Below are 18,351 nucleotides of genomic sequence, written 5' to 3' on the forward strand. Positions count from 1 at the left end.
CTGGTGGCAGGGGAGGAGGGGGGTCTTATTTCTCATTAAGAAATCTGTTACTGATATGGGGCACCTCAAATTCAGAATAAAATTAATAAAAACAAATACTGCTATGATTTGAATGTTTGTGTTCCCCCCAAAATTCATTTGTTGACATTCTAACCCCCACAGTGATGATATTAAGAGGTGGGGGCCTTTGATAGGTCACCCTCATTAATCAAATTAGTGCTCTTATAAAAGAGGCCCAATGAAGCTTGTTTGTCCCTACCACCATGTGAGAATACAGCAAGAAGATGTCATTTATAAGCAAATGGTGCCCTCACCAGACACCAAATCTGCTGGCACCTAAGTCTTGGACTTCCCAGTCCCCAGAACTATGCGACATAAATTACTGTTGCTTATAAGCTACCCAGATTATGGTATTTTGTTATAACAGCCCCAAAAAGACAAAGACAAATATTAAAAACTCAACATAATGTGAACTTTATATTTTTAGCAGTTCTAGAACTTCAGGTGTATAATATGTAACTTTATTATTACATCTTATTATAATTTCTGCCTTTGATTACCTAGCCTAGCATAAAGCTTCAATCTGCTTATAAATTCAGATTTTCCTGTGATTTCTTATTCTGGTTTCAGAAAAAGCATATGTAACATTGAGGTATGAAGGGTGGCATTCAGATGATCCTCGTTCATTTTATTTGTGATATCTTGGGGTGATATAACCTGTCATACACTGCCTCAACATGAATATTAAACATGGACTGCTACTAGAGCAGGTATTGAAAGTTATGGTCTCACCGATGGACTTGATTCCCACCTCAGCTATGAGACATTCTCAATCAACAGATATTTCCCATAAATCATCCTATTGTCCTTATCATAGGCTTCCCACTCTGATCGAGTTGGGGGTAGAAAAAATCAGTAACTGGCAGTCCTACACAAGTTCTAAACAATTTAGCGATACAAAGGAGTTGTCCTAAGATGAGATCAATATATTACCTCTGCATCTAATAAAACAAATTTAGATAGTACAGTTTAATCTATTGTATGATTAATTTTATGTGTCAACTTGACTGGGCTTAAAGATGCCCAAATAGCTAGTAAAACATTATTTCTAGTTGTGTCTGTGAGGGTGTTTCCAGAAGACATTAGCATTTGAATCAGTAAACTGAGTAAAGCTGCACCCTCACTAATGCGGACTTACGTCAGCCAATCTATTGGGGGTCCAACAGAACAAAATGGCAGAGAAGGGTGAGCCAACTCTCTCTCTCTTTAAGCTGGAACATCCATCTTCTCCTGCCCTCAAACACTGCAGCTTCTGGTTCACCAGATTTCACATTCAAAGACTTATATCAGTGGTCTCCCATGAGTCCTCAGGCCTTGGGTATTAGAGTGGAAGTTACACAATCTGTTCCTCTGGTTCTTACATTTAAGGAGTCCGTCTGAATAACACTATCAGCTTTCTTGGTTCCCCATCTTGGGACAACATATTATGGGACTTCTCAGCCTCCACAATTGCATTAGACAATTCCCCTAACAAATCTCTTCTTATTCCTATATCTATCTCTATATATCCTATTAGCTTTGTTTCTCTGGAGAACCCTGCCTAATACATCTATGAGCAATGGGTTTTCCAATATTATACAGATCTTCCCACTCAGTCTCAGCACACAGTATGAGGAAAGTCCTTCTCTTACCCCTGTAAAATGGAAGAGCAGAGCAACTTCCTGAGGACAGCTGAATCCCAAGAAAAAAAGGAGGACAATGTTCTAGTTTCTTCTTCTAAAGTCGACGATCATATAACTCCCTTAACTACTCACATAAAGGTTAGGTCAAGAGATCAAACATGTTATAACAGTGGACCTTCCACATAAAAGGAAACATCACAAAAAGAAAGAAAGCATTCTATAATCCCTTCCATATACCAATAATCTGCAGCATTTTTGTTCTACTAAACCACTGGACTTAATAATTAAGCTTATGGTCAGTCGGCATGGCTGTCCTTCAGAGAAGGGAATCAGCAATCTATCAAGACATTGCTTCTTTGCTTCTTCCATTTCATGAGTCACCTACACCATCTATGACTTTAGGTATTGTCTTCTGAGACCACTGTTAGCAGTTAAGATTTTTGAACCCCGAATTCTCCAAAGTAGGTCAAAACTACATTAATTAAATTAAATCAAATCTGTAGTCATTCTACAGCCTGGCCAGCATGGCAAAACCTCGTCTCTACTAAAAATACAAAAATTAGCCAGGCATGGTGGCACACACCTGTAATCCCAGCTACTCGGGAGGCTGAGGCACAAGAATCACTTGAACCTGGGAGGCAGAGGTTGCAGTGAGCCCAGATCAAACCACTGTACTCCAGTCTGGGTAACAGAGGGAGACCCTGTCTCAAAATAATAAATAAATAAAAATAAAAATAAAAAATTTGTAGTCATTCTATAACTAAGGCTGAAAACTGATTTCTAATTCTGTGTCTTATCAAAAATTATGATAAGTATATATCTAGCATAATACATCAGGGTCCTGCAATGAGATCAAACAACTTAAGAAATTCCAAGAATATAATTCTAACATTATAGAGATAGGCCAAATTTGAAAATAAGCCCTTTCAATTATTAAATTCCCAAGAATAAATTTAAGTCCAAAAACTAAATCACCTTGGAAATTCAAATAAAAAACCATTAACACTCAAAGAAATTAAAGTCCATTATCAAATTTTCATGCCCTTATGAGCTACACCTTGAAAATGTTCAAATCAGAATGCTTAGGTAAAAGTCAATAAAACATCATGATGAATTTATTCTTCTGCCACCTCAGAGGCATTCTTAATACTTGGAATGGGCATACAGTCATGTGCCACATAACAACATTTCGGTCAATGATGGACTGTCCTATAATATTAAAATGGAGCTCAAAAATTCACGTCAACTAGTGACATAGTAGTCCTTGTAACATTGTAGCGCAATTACTTAGTTTTTTTTTTTTTAAATAAATTCAGTGTAGCCTAAGTGTACAGGGTTTATAAAGTCAACAGGAGTACACAGTAATGTCCTAGGCCTTCACATTTACTCACTACTCACTCACTGCCTCACCCAGAACAACTTTTAGTCCTGTAGGCTGCTCATTCATGCTAAGTGCCCAAAACAGGTGTATCATTTTTTATCTCATACAGTATTTTTACTATTCCTTTGCTATGTTTATATATGTTTAACTACACAAATACTGACCATTGTGTTACAAGGACCTTCAATATTCAGTAAAGTAACATCCTGTACAGGTCGGTAGCCTAGGAGCGATTAGCTATACTATATAGCCTATGTGTGTAGTAAGCTATACCATCTAGGTTTGTGTAAGTACACTGTATGATGTTTGTAGAATGATGAACTCACCTAATGATGCATTTTTCAGAACATATATCCTTGCTGTTCAGCGATGCATGACTGTAGTTCCTCCAGGGATTCAGATATTATATCACATCAAAGACAAATTTTTCCTAGCTACATTGTAAAGAGCCAAAAGAATAATCATCTGCAAAAAAAGGTGAGCTGTATCTCTATCATATTTTTATGACCTTTGATAAACTAAAACTGAATCAAAGATTTAAATGTACAAAGGGAAAGAAATATGAAACCATGAAGTACTAAATGAAAACACACAAATTCCTTTAAAATCTGGGGTGAAAAAGACATTTCTAAATGACTAAAACCCATTACATAAAGAAGGAAATACTGATAAATTGTACTATATTAAAAGAAAAATCAGGGTCAAAAGACAAATGACACACTAGAGAAAAAATATTTCAAACTCACATGATAGGCAAAAGATTCAACTCCATCATATAAAAAGAGCAGCTAGAACTCAAATGGAGATAACAGTAATAAATTCCTAAAAATGGTCAAAAAAAATGAAAATCACTTCACAGAAGAAGAAATTAAAATGGCCCTTAAAGAAATGCAAAGATATACAACTCATTCACATATTCTTATTAAATAATAAATACAAATTAAAACAACACTGAGATAATATTTTTCACTTATCAGATTGTCAAGAATCCAAATTTTCATAATACTCTGTTAACGAAACAGATCTCACACCATAAGAAGAATGCAAAATAGTACAACATATACAGGGAGAAATTTGGTAATACACAAACATTACACAGGCATTTATCTTTTGATACAGCAATTCTACTTTTAGGAATTTATACATGCAAGCATCCACTAGCAGGAAACTGTTTATGATACATTCACATCACAAAATATTAATTCCATGCAACGAGGAAAAGTTTTCCACATATTGAAAACATGCAGTTGACTGAAAAAAAATGAGGTACAGAGCAGAGTGTGTGAAGTTTGCTATCTTTTGTAGAGAAAAGGAAAAATTAAGAACATGGATTCCTATTTGTATGTGTCTGCATGTTAAAAGACAACACATTAGGTATGCATAGTATGGTAGAACCTACTAAATGGATTACTTACTTACTTATGACTCTGAAGCCAGATTGCCTAAGTCTACTTCTGCCACTTTCAAATTAAAACCTTTTCGAGCCTATTTTTAAAATGGGGAGTATAGAAATTCTTACCTCAGAGAGTTGATACAAGATATAAATGAGTTAATATTTGCAAAGTACATAGGACTGTATTTGGACACTTAAGTATTATACAAGTTTTTTTTTTTTAAGCAACAAACAACTAAATAAATAGAACCTGTAGGCATGGGTAAATATATGAATAGAAGTAAGGTTTGTCAAATTTACATTTTTCCATCTGTTTTAACTTCGCAAATGTATGGTTCAAAAACAATACTAAAAGAATACATGTACTCAACACAACTGTCCCCACACCTATGTAATTTCAACACAGCCACTTTCCCAAACCCTAAAAGAGTTATCCCAAAGCACACTGTGTTCTTAGAAACCGGAACTGAATGTCATCTAGAGGAAGAAGGGGACATGAAAATATTCTTGGTTGCAGCCTCATCAGGATGCTTGTCATTTATGTGAGTAACACAAAATCCTGAAAACTCCTATCAATACGATAATTTTGACATTAACGATTCATCCTACCTGGGAGTAAAATGCACTCAGTATACTGTTGCCTCTCTCAGAGAATGACATTTGAGACATTCCTGCCTTACAGAAAAGTTTAAAAATTTCTAATCAAGTTCACCAGGTTTTAATTAAGTATAAAATTTTCCCTCTACAATATGTTTTTAAAACTTTCATTTTCATTCCCTCTCTGAGCCCTCAGTTTCTGCCACTTTGGTGCAGCTAAAGGTGGACTCTATCTTACAAAACAGAGCCTACCATCTCTGATAAGCATATATTTCTTTTTTTTTTTTTTTTTTTTTTTTTTGAGACGGAGTCTCGCTCTGTCGCCCAGGCCGGACTGCGGACTGCAGTGGCGCAATCTCAGCTCACTGCAAGCTCCGCTTCCCGGGTTCACGCCATTCTCCTTCCTCAGCCTCCCGAGTAGCTGGGACTACAGGCGCCCGCCACCGCGCCCGGCTAATTTTTTGTATTTTTAGTAGAGACGGGGTTTCACCTTGTTAGCCAGGATGGTCTCGATCTCCTGACCTCATGATCCACCCGCCTCGGCCTCCCAAAGTGCTGGGGTTACAGGCGTGAGCCACCGCACCCGGCCCCATATATTTCAATCCTATATTACAGTAGTTCTTTCCACTGTTTCTTGTTATGGAATTGATAAGCTGGTGACCTGCCCCTCAGGGAGGGTCTCCTCTCTCATCTATTTATTTCAGCTGGAAAATCACTCTCAGCAGATTCCTGAATTGAAGCTGCAACTGATGATCCTGAAGCCTGAGCCTCCAGGGGCCCAAAGAGAACTAATTCCTTTTCCATGTGCTCCTGTCTTTCATCATAAAATTGTACAGACCTTGAATAGCATTTTTTTCTGCTACATATTTTTCTGCAACAATGAAACACACCTCTACTTTTTATTTTCTTCTATCCTTCTATCTTTCAGAAAGTTTTAACTGTTCTTAGCTATGTAATCAACTTAGGAAGTTGAATTTCTAACTGGTTAACCTTTTTATTAATTTGGTCTCTTCTCCAACACACATAGCATTAATGCTGTTTGCTGGAAATGAATACTTGACTACCTTATTTTTTTTCTAAGCATTAGTTTTTTTCTAACATACTCCTCTAGTTCTTAAGTTCCAGAATCTTCTTCTCTATCAATAACAATGAAATCACTCAATTCTGAATTTACTAAAAGTATCTACCATTCAAACACATATTTTCCCCTCTTCCTCCCTGAGACAAATAGTTCCATGCAGGAACTTTTCTCTCATTAGACCAACATCTAGTCTATTTAAGCCTGAATTTATCTTCTTGCCTGGCTCATTCCAATATGCCCCTCTTGCTTGAGCCTTGTCTTGCATCCTAATTTTTGGGCACAATCCTTCAAGGCACAAAATGTAACTATGTTCAAAATCTATAATGGCTATGTTACCTTGAAAACCACCTAATGACACTTTGTAAGTTCAACAGATTTCCCTAGTCTTAGTTCTGCCTTTAACGTCATCCCTTAACAGTGACTTCTTAACAGTTTCCTATTTCCTGACTCTCTTTCAAGGAGCCATTCCATTTGAGATCTTGCCTCTTTCTCTTTTTGATTAATTTGACTCAGGTCCTTATCTCAATCAAGTAACAACTAAACTCTTAAACTCTTCTTTTACCAATCCTATGACATACAACATTTAGATCCTCTTGAATCTCTATTTCCCTCTACTTGAACTTCAAATCTCATTTTCTATGTCATTTCTCTTAAGCTGGTGTCCTAATTTCCCAAATTTGCTCCTAAAAACTTTTCTTTTTCTCCAGCTCTAACTTATTTTATTCTTGCTTCCATTTTTCCATTGCTCTCTATTAACAATGAAGCATAAATTTTAAACTACGCTAGCACCTAAAATCCTAAGCAAAAATGATTTTTAGAACCAGATATTCCAATCATGAGACTTTTTAATTGCTTTCTCAGTCACTGTTTTTGCAATAATTGTATTGAATGGTTTCTCATCCTCAATTTATGAAGATTTATGAAAATCTATATGGTCTTTACAAGAAGGGTTCCCATTGCTTTTTAATTTAATATCCAACTCCGTAATTTGATATCCATATGCACCTCCTATGGGTGGAGTCACAGTGTGAATCTCAAAGATCAAAAGTTATGACCAGAGTACACAGAATTGTTAAATTCAAAGCCACTGTGAGATAAAAAAAAAAATAGGAACAACTATTAAATCGATGGCCAAGTCAGATAACTCCAAGACTTGTCACACCAAACTTCCATCTCTTGTCTCTGAAGAGGAGTCAAAACAATATAAAAGATCAGAATTTGAGCAGACTTTTTTTTTTTTTTTTTTTTTTTTGAGACGGAGTCTCTCTCTGTTTCCAGGCTGGAGTGAAATGAGACGATCTCAGCTCACTGCAACCTCCGCCTCCCGGGTTCAAGCGATTCTCCCGGCTCAGCCTCCCTAGTAGCTGGGACTACAGGCGCGTGCGACCACGCCTGGCTAATTTTTGTATTTTTAGTAGAGATGCGTTTCACCCTGTTGGCCAGGATGGTCTCGATCTCTTGATCTCGTGATCCTCCCGCCTCGGCCTCCCAAACTGCTGGGATTACAGGTGTCAGCCACTGCACCCAGCCAGAATTTGAGCAGACTATCTATGCCCCCTATGTAGGCCTGGCACTAAACATTTCCTGCAAATACCACTGGCCATCCTAGAACCACTTTGAGATCTGTAAGGCTCGTACACAAAAAGACTATAATCATACCCTTCTCTCAGTCAAGGCTACTTAGAAAAAACTGCCTCTACAGATTTCAAAGCCAAGCAGCAATAATCACGTGACCAACACCCGTTTAATAGGGATGCCTCAACACTCCTGGTCAGATTTTGTTTGCTGAGTCCCTCAAAGCTTATTGGCTTTTGCTCACAGCCCAAGGTATGCAAACCTGCTTATATACAAACAGCTACTCTCCTGTGGGCAAAATTGCCACTACAGCTGAACATATATGATCGGTACCTAGACCAGTTCTGCCAGAGTGCAACACTTCCCACTTTAGCCATGCCAGAAGATACAACTACACAAATCGCTCTGCAACATGCAATTCCTTTCCTTTTAATTTTCCTTTTACTCCCATCCTATGTCCTAGATGTCAGAGTGAGAGGAAGGTCCAAAATATAACGTCTTTCCATTCCCTCTGGGAGAAATGAAACAAAAAAGGAAAGTGGCAAAAAAAAAAAAAAAAAATCTGGCCGGGCGCAGTGGCTCACGCCTGTAATCCCAACACTTTGGGAGGCCGAGGCGGGTGGATCACGAGGTCAGGAGATCGAGACCATCCTGGCTAACATGGTGAAACCCCGTCTCTACTAAAAATACAAAAAAAAATTAGCCAGGCGTGGTGGCGGGCCCCTGTAGTCCCAGCTACTCGGGAGGCTGAGGCAGGAGAATGGCGTGAACCCGGGAGGCGGAGCTTGCAGTGAGCCGAGATGGCGTCACTGCACTCCAGCCTGGGGTGACAGAGTGAGACTCCGTCTCAAAAAAAAAAAAAAATTTCAAAATATTTCCTGATAACTGTTAGAGCAATGAATGAAGACCATGTCTTATAACTGTCAGCTTACTGACAACGAACCCCAGAATGAGACAAACTTACCAAGGACGTCACAGGTAACAGGCAAAAAAAGACGGCGCAGAGGCAAATTCCGAACCTTTCCGTTTTACAGCCTGGAGGGGTCGGGTAAAACAGGTACTTCCTGTGAGCAGTTTCCGCCTTAGGTGAAAGGAAGAGGCGGTCACATGAAGGACTGCGCGTTCCAAACTGACCAATCAGATAGATGATTGCTATCTCCACGGGAGGAACTAAAAAGACAGCCATTAGGAGAGTTCTTCTAATATAAGTCCCTCTGTAATGAATCAAACAAAAGAATTGAGATGGGTGTTCCTACCTACCAACATAATTCCTAGTGACACCTGTTGGGATCTTTTCCTTCCATGTCGCAGCTATCTCTTGGCAAGCCCCCTGGCTCCGTGTTACTTCTTTATCCCACTTGGTGATTAGGAAAGTTTGAGATTGCCTGTAACCCAAAGCAAGTCATAAATCCCGTGTAGCCCATCTGATCTCTCCTAAGCATACTAGGATGCTAATTATGATGACCACATAATATTTTGCCCAAACTGAGACCCTTGAGAGTGAAAGAGGGCAATGTAATTAATTAAAATTATACGTTTTCTTATTTTTTGAGATTTTGAGACTTTATATTGGTGGGCCAATAAAGTGCAATTCAAAATTCATTTTGGAAAGGAAATTAGTTCTAAAAATTAAAATGATATAATTACATATTAAAGCTAAAACTTTTTGTAAAGTCTGTATTGATAATATGAACATAATAAAATGGCACTTTGGGAGGCCAAGGCAGGTGGATCACCTGAGGTCAGCAGTTTGAGATCAGCCTGGCCAACGTGGTGAAACCCTGTCTCTACTAAAAATACAAAAATTAGCTGGGCGTGGGGTCGGATGCCTGTAATCCCAACTACTTCTGGAGGCTGAGGCAGGACAATGGCTTGAATCACAGTGGCGGAGGTTGCAGTGAGCCGAGATCGAGCCGTTGCACTCCAGCTGGGCAACAAGAGTGAAACTCCATCTCAAAATATATATATGTATAATAAAATGATCATTCTTGCTGTATGCTGATGTATTTTAATTAGTGTTTTGGTCTATAAGACTGGGTCACTGATATTTTCTAAAGAATATATTTTAATATGGTATTATTACTTGTCAACTTTTTAAATCGCCTATACTCTTCTAAAACATGTACTTTATGGGTGATATATGTCAAATTGTTGACATCTTCACTTAACTGTTCACCATGTATTATAGTATTTTAAATTGAGAAAATAAGCTCATAGAAATTCTGCTAAACAGAAAATACCCTTTCTATTTTTTTCATTTTGAAATATGTAATTTTTTCAGTCCAAATATTTTCGCAAGTACCTTCTTCTGGCCTGTAAGGTAACCTATCTTCAGCACATATTTGTATGAGACAAATTTCATTAATTTTGTTGTTATTTATATTCTTTTGAGGTTTTTTTGTTTTTTTGTTTTTGATGGAGTCTTGTTCTGTCTCCCAGGCTGGAGTGCAGTGGCACCCTCTTGGCTCACTGCAACCTCTGCCTTCCCGGGTTCACGCGATTCTCCTGCCTCAGCCTCCTGAGTAGATGGGATTACAGGTGCACACCACCACACCCAGCTAATTTTTTGTGTATTTTTAATAAAGACAGGGTTTCACTATGTTGGCCAGACTGGTCTCGAACTCCTGACCTCGTGATCCGCCCACCTCGGCCTCCCAAAGTGCTGGGATTACAGGCATGAGCCACGGCGCCCGGCCTCTTTTGAAGGTTTAACAAATTTAGATCCTGCAAATTGGAAAGCCTTTTAAATTTTATGTCTCTAAAAATGTGAATTTATACTACTTATAGTAGAAATCCCATGAAAAAAATTATATAAATTTAAAATATTCCAAAGCACAATTATAGAATGTGAAAGTTAAATATTATATAAGATTTAAGATCCAATTAAATTTGTTCATATTATCCCTTGGTTTTGAATGAGTATTTTAAATATTTTCCTGTGTCATGGGCTTTGTTTTTAATAACTACAGTCTGCTACATTTTCAAAACCCGTATTTTATTGGCAAAACAATTGAATTCTTTGAAAATTTTCAAATGATTTTAACACAATTCAACAAATTTTTTCTGTCATTAAAAGTTTACTATTTTTGTAGATAATTTAAGTTTATTTACAAAGATTTTTTTTTAAGGATCAAATATTTTTAAAGTCCTGTTTGGAAGCAACAAAGAAACGAAACGTGCTATTATGTTTAAGTCTACTTTTTTGTTTGTTTTACTCAATTCCAGTTTTATCACAAAAAAAATTGATCATCTAATTATTACATATAACTCTATTTGTGAATTTTAACAATTACAGCTTATATTTCAATTGCAGTTTAGATGCATTAATTAATTGTGTGCATAACACAGCCCATTCCAAGAATATAATTATCCCATAGGTTTCTCAATTTACTATGAATATTTATTTTCTCCTAGGACCTTGTGTTCTTCCCAATTCAAGTTCATATTCTACAGTAATAATTTATTTTTAAAATTGCTTGAACTGCATATAAAATCACATTCCCAATAACAGCTGATGTTTTCCTCTTTTGAAGAATGAATTTTCCAATTTTTAATTTGACTGCATAAATTAAAGTAAGTTTTAGGAAATAATAAAATATATATTTACAATATAGTTTTTCTAACTTTCCTGTGCTGCTAGTGTCCCAGACCACCATCCTTTATTAGTAAGTATCCTTAATGATGTATTTAATAGAATGGTGGTTGTATTAGTCCATTTTCATGCTGCTGATAAAGACATACCCCAGACAGGATGATTTATAAAGGAAAGAGGTTTAATTGACTCACAGTTCCACATGGCTGTGGAGGCGTCACAATCATGGTAGAAGATGAAGGAAGAGCAAAGGGATGTCTTACATGGCAGCCAGCAAAAAGAGAATGAGAGCCAAGTGAAAGGGGTTGCCCTTATAAAAACATCAGATTTCGTGAGACTTATTCACTACCACAAGAACAATATGGGGGAAACTGCCCCCATGATTAAATCGTCTCTCACTGGGTCCCTCCCACAACACGTGGGAATTATGGGAGCTATTATTAAAGATGAGATTTGGGTGGGGACACAGCCAAACTATATCAGTGGTGAGTAAGGTTTGGTCTGGAAAGGTCAGATAAACAGAAACAGGCTATTGCTAGTTGTCTGTCAGGTTTGTCCATGTGTTAAAGGCATAATATTGTTTACTGCACACATTTCACATTTTTAAAATGAGATGATTGCAGAAACTAGAAGTAAAAAGTCAAGATCTAACAAATCCACACTGACTTATTTTAATGCAAACATAAATAGTAATTTTTCAACAAAAGTAAAACATCTGGGATAAATACCGTGTTGAACAAGATGTCAAGATGTAAAAGAAGTATGTTTCTGTGAGCCTGATGCCTTCAGAACTTGCCAGATGAAGAACACATATAAGTCTCCTATGGCAAGATCTTCTCTCCCTAACTTCTCTCAAAACACAAAGTTTGTTTACTTTCCCATCTCCTGCCCCTTCCCAGGTCTTAATCTTAGAAGTGAGAAGAGGCACAATGTGCTCACCTCTTCTTTTCACATAAGTCTCATCTATCTCCAAAACACCAACCATCCCACCTTTGTTCTCAGTCTAGATCCCCTCATAAATCCAATTTGAGGGAGAGGAGTGATTGGAACTCTCTAAAGCAGATTTGGCCAACTGTCAGGTTAGCTTTTTTTTTTTTTTTTTGTAATGGAATATGAGGAGAAATTAGAGGGCCAGGAGGAAAACAGGAAGGATAAGGAGATGAGTGGTGTACGGCATAGGTCTCAGGAAAACGTGCATAGAGACATTTGGGGGCAAGGATATGGAAGTAAATGTGGAATCTGGGGAAAAAAGATGAGAGATAAAAGGAGTTTTTCAAAAGTGTTCATTTGTGTTATATGTACACTTCATGATGTTTAAGGAATCCAAGGAAATAAATTTCCTTTTAATTTTTATCATCGTGCTGTTATTCTTTGACTACCATACTGTAATTCTATGATTTCAATAAGATAAAAAAGAGAACAACCAATGGAATTTAGAAAAAAAATTCATAAAATAATGTCTTGATCAAGAAAATTCAAATCTAAACTAATAATTTAGCTATACTAGCACTTGTAAAATGTATTTTATCTGTGACACCAGACTGCACAGCCCTGCAGCCTGACCACATGACTTTATGAAAGGCTCTATTTCAAGCTTTCTGGAAAGTTTTTGTTTTTTAAACTAATGGTTTGCAAGTTATTTGACAGAAGTGACATCTCTATTTAGATTATATGAGCTGCTTATTTGCATAGACCATCCAACTTTGTGAAATTTGAACCTCAAAAACTAATTTCAAATTTGCCTAGTTTCAAAATGCCACTTAATGGCTTAGTTACTGCCCACTCTCAGATCTGGAGTTAATCAACTAATTAAAGGGACAGTTAAGGGAATGGCATAATATGAGCAGGAAGGATACAGCTTCAGTGGTACAGTCCCAAAGGTCAGAGTCTCTTTGATTTATTAAATTGTACGGTGATTTTTAGTGAAGGTTTAGAAAGAAGCCCCTCTACTCTGGTAATTCTTTTTACTAGAACCTGAATGACCTCTAATTTTAACACCCTGCCTAGAAAAACATCTATGACCCAGTTCTCTCACAGTCTTGTTTCATGTGTTATAAATGTAGAGATATGTATCCTCTATGGATTTCATCGAAAAATAAATAGTTCTTCCTCTAAATTATCTTATCTGGATTAGTGTTTGACTATTAGTTAGTGGCAGCATACACAAAAATATACCAAATAATACAGGTCGAAGGGAAATGATAGCTTGGGTTATTTTTCATAGGCCACAATTATGTACTAACTATAAGGCAAATTATTCGATCACATGTTTTTGTTTGTTTTGAGATGGAGTCTTGCTCTGTCACCCAGGCTGGAGTCTAGTGGCACCATCCTGGCTCACTGCAACCTCTGCCTCCCAAGTTCAAGTGATTCTCCTGCCTCAGCCTCCTGAGTAGCTGAGATTACAGGTGCGTGCCACCACGCCCAACTAATTTTTGTATTTTTAGTAGAGATGAGGTTTCACCATGTTGGTCAGGCTGGTCTCGAACTCCTGACCTTGTGATCCACCCGCCTCAGCCTCCCAAAGTGCTGGAATTACAGGCGTGAGCCACCACGCCCATTCTCAATCATATTTTTGACACTTCAATGTAGAGGATCTAGGGCCAAGGCATCTAAATTTCACAGTTTTTCAACTGCCAAGCAGGTGTGAAATGATGACATTCACTAAATAGACTACTGGATAGTGTCAATATATATGACAATTAAAGATGGCCCCAATACTTTGACTCTCTTCCATAGAGAGGCAAGGCCTATGTCCCCTTGTCCTGAATTGAAGTGGATGCTGTATCTACTTTGACTAATAGAATATGGCGGAAGTAACAGTATGCTACTTTGTATGCTGGGCAGCAGTGGATTTGCTCTTTCCACTTCCTGTCACTTAGAATGCCTACTCTGGGGGAAACCAGTTGCCACATAAGAAGTGTGACTTCTGACACTGCCATGCTATGAGAAAGCTCAATGTAGCCATTTGCAGAGAAAGATCCTCAAACAACCACTACTGTTGTACTTCTCTCAGCCCAGGCATCAGGCCTGTGAGTGAGAAAAGCACTGTGACTCCATTTTTGGCAATATTTCACTACAACTTCATAAGAAATCCCAAGTGAGAATCACCCAGGTAAGCCCACAGAAAAATGAATAAGAAAATCCAAAACAATGCTTTTTTTTTTAACCAAATTTCAAGGAACTTTGTTAAGAAGCAATGGACAACTGGAATAACACTCAATATTTACTAAGGGCCAGGCACAGTGGCTCACACCTATAATCCCAGCACATTAGGAGGCCAAGGCAGGCAGATTACCTGAGGTCGGGAGTTTGAGACTTAGCCTGGCCAACATTGTGAAACCCCATCTCTACTAAAAATACAAAAATTAGCCAGACGTGATGCTGCATGCCTGTAGCCCCAGCTACTCAGGAGGCTGAGGCAGGAGACTCGCTTAAACCCAGAATGTGGAGGTTGTAATGAGCCAAGATTACACCACTGTACTCCACCCTGGGCGACAGAGCAAGAATCCATCTCAAAAAAAAAAAATATATTAAGCATTTAACTTTCTGTAAGACACTTTCGAGACATGTTCAACTTATTTAAACATCAAAAACATTCTTGACTAATTACATCTGACTCCCTCTTCAGTTGCTCTAAACATCAGAATTATGATTATAGATCCATTGTAGTATCTTTAGTTCAGAGCATTACAAATGGTTGTTTTAGTCATAGTACACAATCTTAAACTGAAACTGTGTGAAGTAATTTGTCTAGCCCATTTCTTAAAAATAGTTATCAAAACTATTTTTATATTATCAAAAACACATAAATAAAGTGAAAATTATTGTTGGCATGCTGTAATAGGTCAGTTCTGACATTAAAATATCAACATTTTATTGATAAAATATGCAAGGTGACATTAGTGAGGCGATTAGATTTTAACTAGTCAACTAAACTTACAATTCAAATTAGCCAATAAACTAAACCTACAAATTGCAAAGTGCTATGCTAGGACCCTCATTCTGTCATCAGACCAATGAGTATATTGATTTTTATCTTGTTAGACTTACAGGATAAAACTGTGAACTTGTGATCAGAGGGTATTCATCATTTATCAAAATATAATTGCTTTACAGATTAAAAAATTGTACCAAATAATCACAAAGTAGATACGGAGAACATAGGAAAATGCCAGGAATTAATTACACTAAGGAGAATTTAGAGGTGGCCTCAGCAGGCAAGATGGCCAGTGCTGTGATTTACAGGTTGCCAGCAAGACAAGAGCAGGAAAGAGGCAGTCCAGGCGAAGGATTTAGCTTGAGAAAACATCAAGGTATGTCCATACAGGATATGTTTAGAGAATTTCATGCAGTCCTGGGTGACTAGGTCATAGAATAGGTGGAGGCAAAGGATAAAGGTGATTGTGTTGGGCCCTAAATGTCATGTCATGGTAAAGAATTTATATTTTATCCCCCGAAACAAATACAGACTGCGGCAAATGTGAAATGAACAGAAATGAACTTTAAAAATATTTGGCATCAGAGTGTAGAATGGGTGAATCTGGAAAGACAAGATCAAGAAGCCTGCAATAAGGCCATCACTTGAGCAGAAATGCAAAGAGTAATTGTCTAATGGAAAATAAATTACATATCACTCAACCTTTATGATGAATGCCAGCATTTTAGATCTGCTCTTGGAGAGATATTTGAATAATTCAGTTAGCACAGTCTCTAAAGGGCATTTTCAATTCTATGTATGGTTTATTCTTCGCATGGCCAGAAGGTATAATTCTATTTACAATGTAATCTTTTCCAAAATAAACAGCAATAGCTTCCCCCAACCCCTGACATTTGCTTTTTTGTGCTAAAATAAGCATTAGACCTAGTCTTACTTATGAGTGAAAAATAGATTGTTCTCATTTATAGAGGAGTATTATTTATTATATGATGTAGTGTTTAGAGAACTATGCACTTGAAAATACTCAAAAATAGAAATATGCCCTCATCTTTTCCATTTTCCATTTTCCATGCAGAAGAGAGGGGGATTTTTGTTCTCTTCTCTCTGTGGCCCTGCTAGAAACACTACAAACTATGAGGGAAGGAGTTTTGGTACCAAACAGTATTACATTTACACCAAGTTAAGAGTAGGCAAAATGCAGGAAACTAAAGTCATGGAAAAAATGGAAATGCTATCAGTATGTCAGAGTAACATATCAATTGAGGTATATCCCTCTGCTCAGCATACACATGTATCAGTATGTTCAGTTTTCAACTGATAAATGTACATGGGGCATCTTGACAATAATATTATTACACAAGCAGAAATATGGGCCTTACTTAAAAAATGACGCCACTGATTAGCATTTATCTTAATGCTAATGATACAGATTCATGAATCCATTTGCCTAGAATGCTCGGTTGATGAATGTTACCCTGAAGAGTTTTCAAAGGTGAGCATAATCCAAACTAATCTTAAATAGATGACGTTATTTTACGTTTTTCAGAACAAAATGAGAGGGATAGCATTTAACAATTCACATGATGAATGCATAGTTGACATCAGCAAAACATGCTGGAATAACATAGCAGGAATTCATATAATTTTTCTTGTAAAAGAGAGTAATTCTCAAAATGCACAGAGGATAATAATGCAGATTAGGTAACATTGTAAACAAGTAGACAATTACTGAACCACCCGAGAGTTTATTTTCATAACCAAGAGACCAGCATTGAGCTTCGGCTTCCAATTAATCAGAAAGAAAATTGACCTTGGACAACTACACTTCTCCAGAAAATGAGCTATATAGAAATTCTTCATCAAAGATTAAAACAAATGAAACTAGTATAATGTATGCCATTGATTTAATCCAGTTTTAAAAGTTATCATACCTCCAAGTATTCCATTAATTTATTTCCCCTACATCTCTATTTATGCTTGTGTTTGTGGAAAATTTTGTTTCTTTGATTTTGACTTCCACCTTCTTCTAAATTGACTATAATTCTGTCTTATCAACATTGAATATAAGAGGCAAGCACGTTCTAAATAGTATTCAACTCAACTGGAAACAGAATCTGGCAATCAATGAGAGTTTCAGAAACGTGTGTGTCTGTGTGTGTGTGTATGTACAGTCATACATATATATGTGTGTATAAATATTGTGTATATAAAAACACACACAAATTTATATAACACAAATCACTACACAATAAATAAAAAGAGCTGTACATTTTAAATATTACATTTTAAATATAATTTTTCTTACTAGAGTATAAAATCATATTTAAGTGACCAAGTACCATAAATTTGAAGTGGACTTAGCCCAAATAATATGTCATACAACAAGTGAACAAAAGAAGAATTCTGTGTGTATTATGTGTTTTGTTAGTCTGTGTTCATATAGGAATATGTTGTGTGTGTGTTGTGAACATCTGTGGTCAACTTTTTCCTCTCAGGAACATTCTCTTCTTTAAAAGCTATAATCAAAAACCTACATTTTTTTCTTCAAGAAAGAGGTGATTTGGAATACTACATTTAGAATGTTTCATAGTACATTATATGATGTAAAAAAACTTTATAAAAGACAGTCACAGTATTCAAAGTGTTTTATTTCATCAAACTAATTACAGTTAATAATCTAAGCTAAATATTAAAATTTATAAACTCACATGTTTTTATTAAATGTTAATCCTATTCAGTTTCTCAGACATTTACTTTGGTCTTCCAAGTTAGGATTAAGTCATAGATTGATTGCTGTATTTTATTAATTTTAGCTCTCTTCCTTGGGTTGAATCTTTAAAAAATACACAGAAATACACACATTTGAACCCCATTAGTGAACCAAAACCACATAGTGAAAAGTTTCTATTATGCCACATCAGATATTACAGGTCCTGTAACTTTTCTTCATCCATGTAACCTACAAAGAATTTTTCAAACTATTAAAACTTGGCAAAATTCCAATCTTGATGGTGGTATTGGTCATACAGAGAATTAGATGTTAAGTAAAAACCAGGAACATTCATGATAGCAGTGGGGATTCCAAAGAACTATCAAGTAAGACACAATGC

The 18,351-nt window shown here is 36.7% G+C and overlaps 1 protein-coding gene across 10 annotated transcripts in view; it reads right to left on the reverse strand.

The window, feature by feature from the left end:
* COX7B2 (cytochrome c oxidase subunit 7B2) overlaps window positions 1–8,759 on the reverse strand; it is a 174,419-nt gene extending 165,660 nt beyond the window's left edge. For 3 of the 10 annotated variants that reach the window (XM_011513634.3, XM_011513630.3, XM_011513631.3), the window contains exons 1-3: window positions 8,674–8,759; window positions 3,810–3,885; window positions 3,390–3,528 (exon numbers count right to left, since the gene is read on the reverse strand). The gene's annotated coding sequence lies outside the window, so the exon portion shown is untranslated. The remainder of the gene's footprint in view (window positions 1–3,389; window positions 3,529–3,809; window positions 3,886–8,673) is intronic. The other 7 variants (NM_130902.3, XM_047449721.1, XM_011513633.3 and 4 more) reach the window with 4 other exon arrangements.

Source organism: Homo sapiens, chromosome 4 (genome assembly GCF_000001405.40).
Source record: "Homo sapiens chromosome 4, GRCh38.p14 Primary Assembly".
Lineage (NCBI taxonomy): Eukaryota > Metazoa > Chordata > Mammalia > Primates > Hominidae > Homo > Homo sapiens.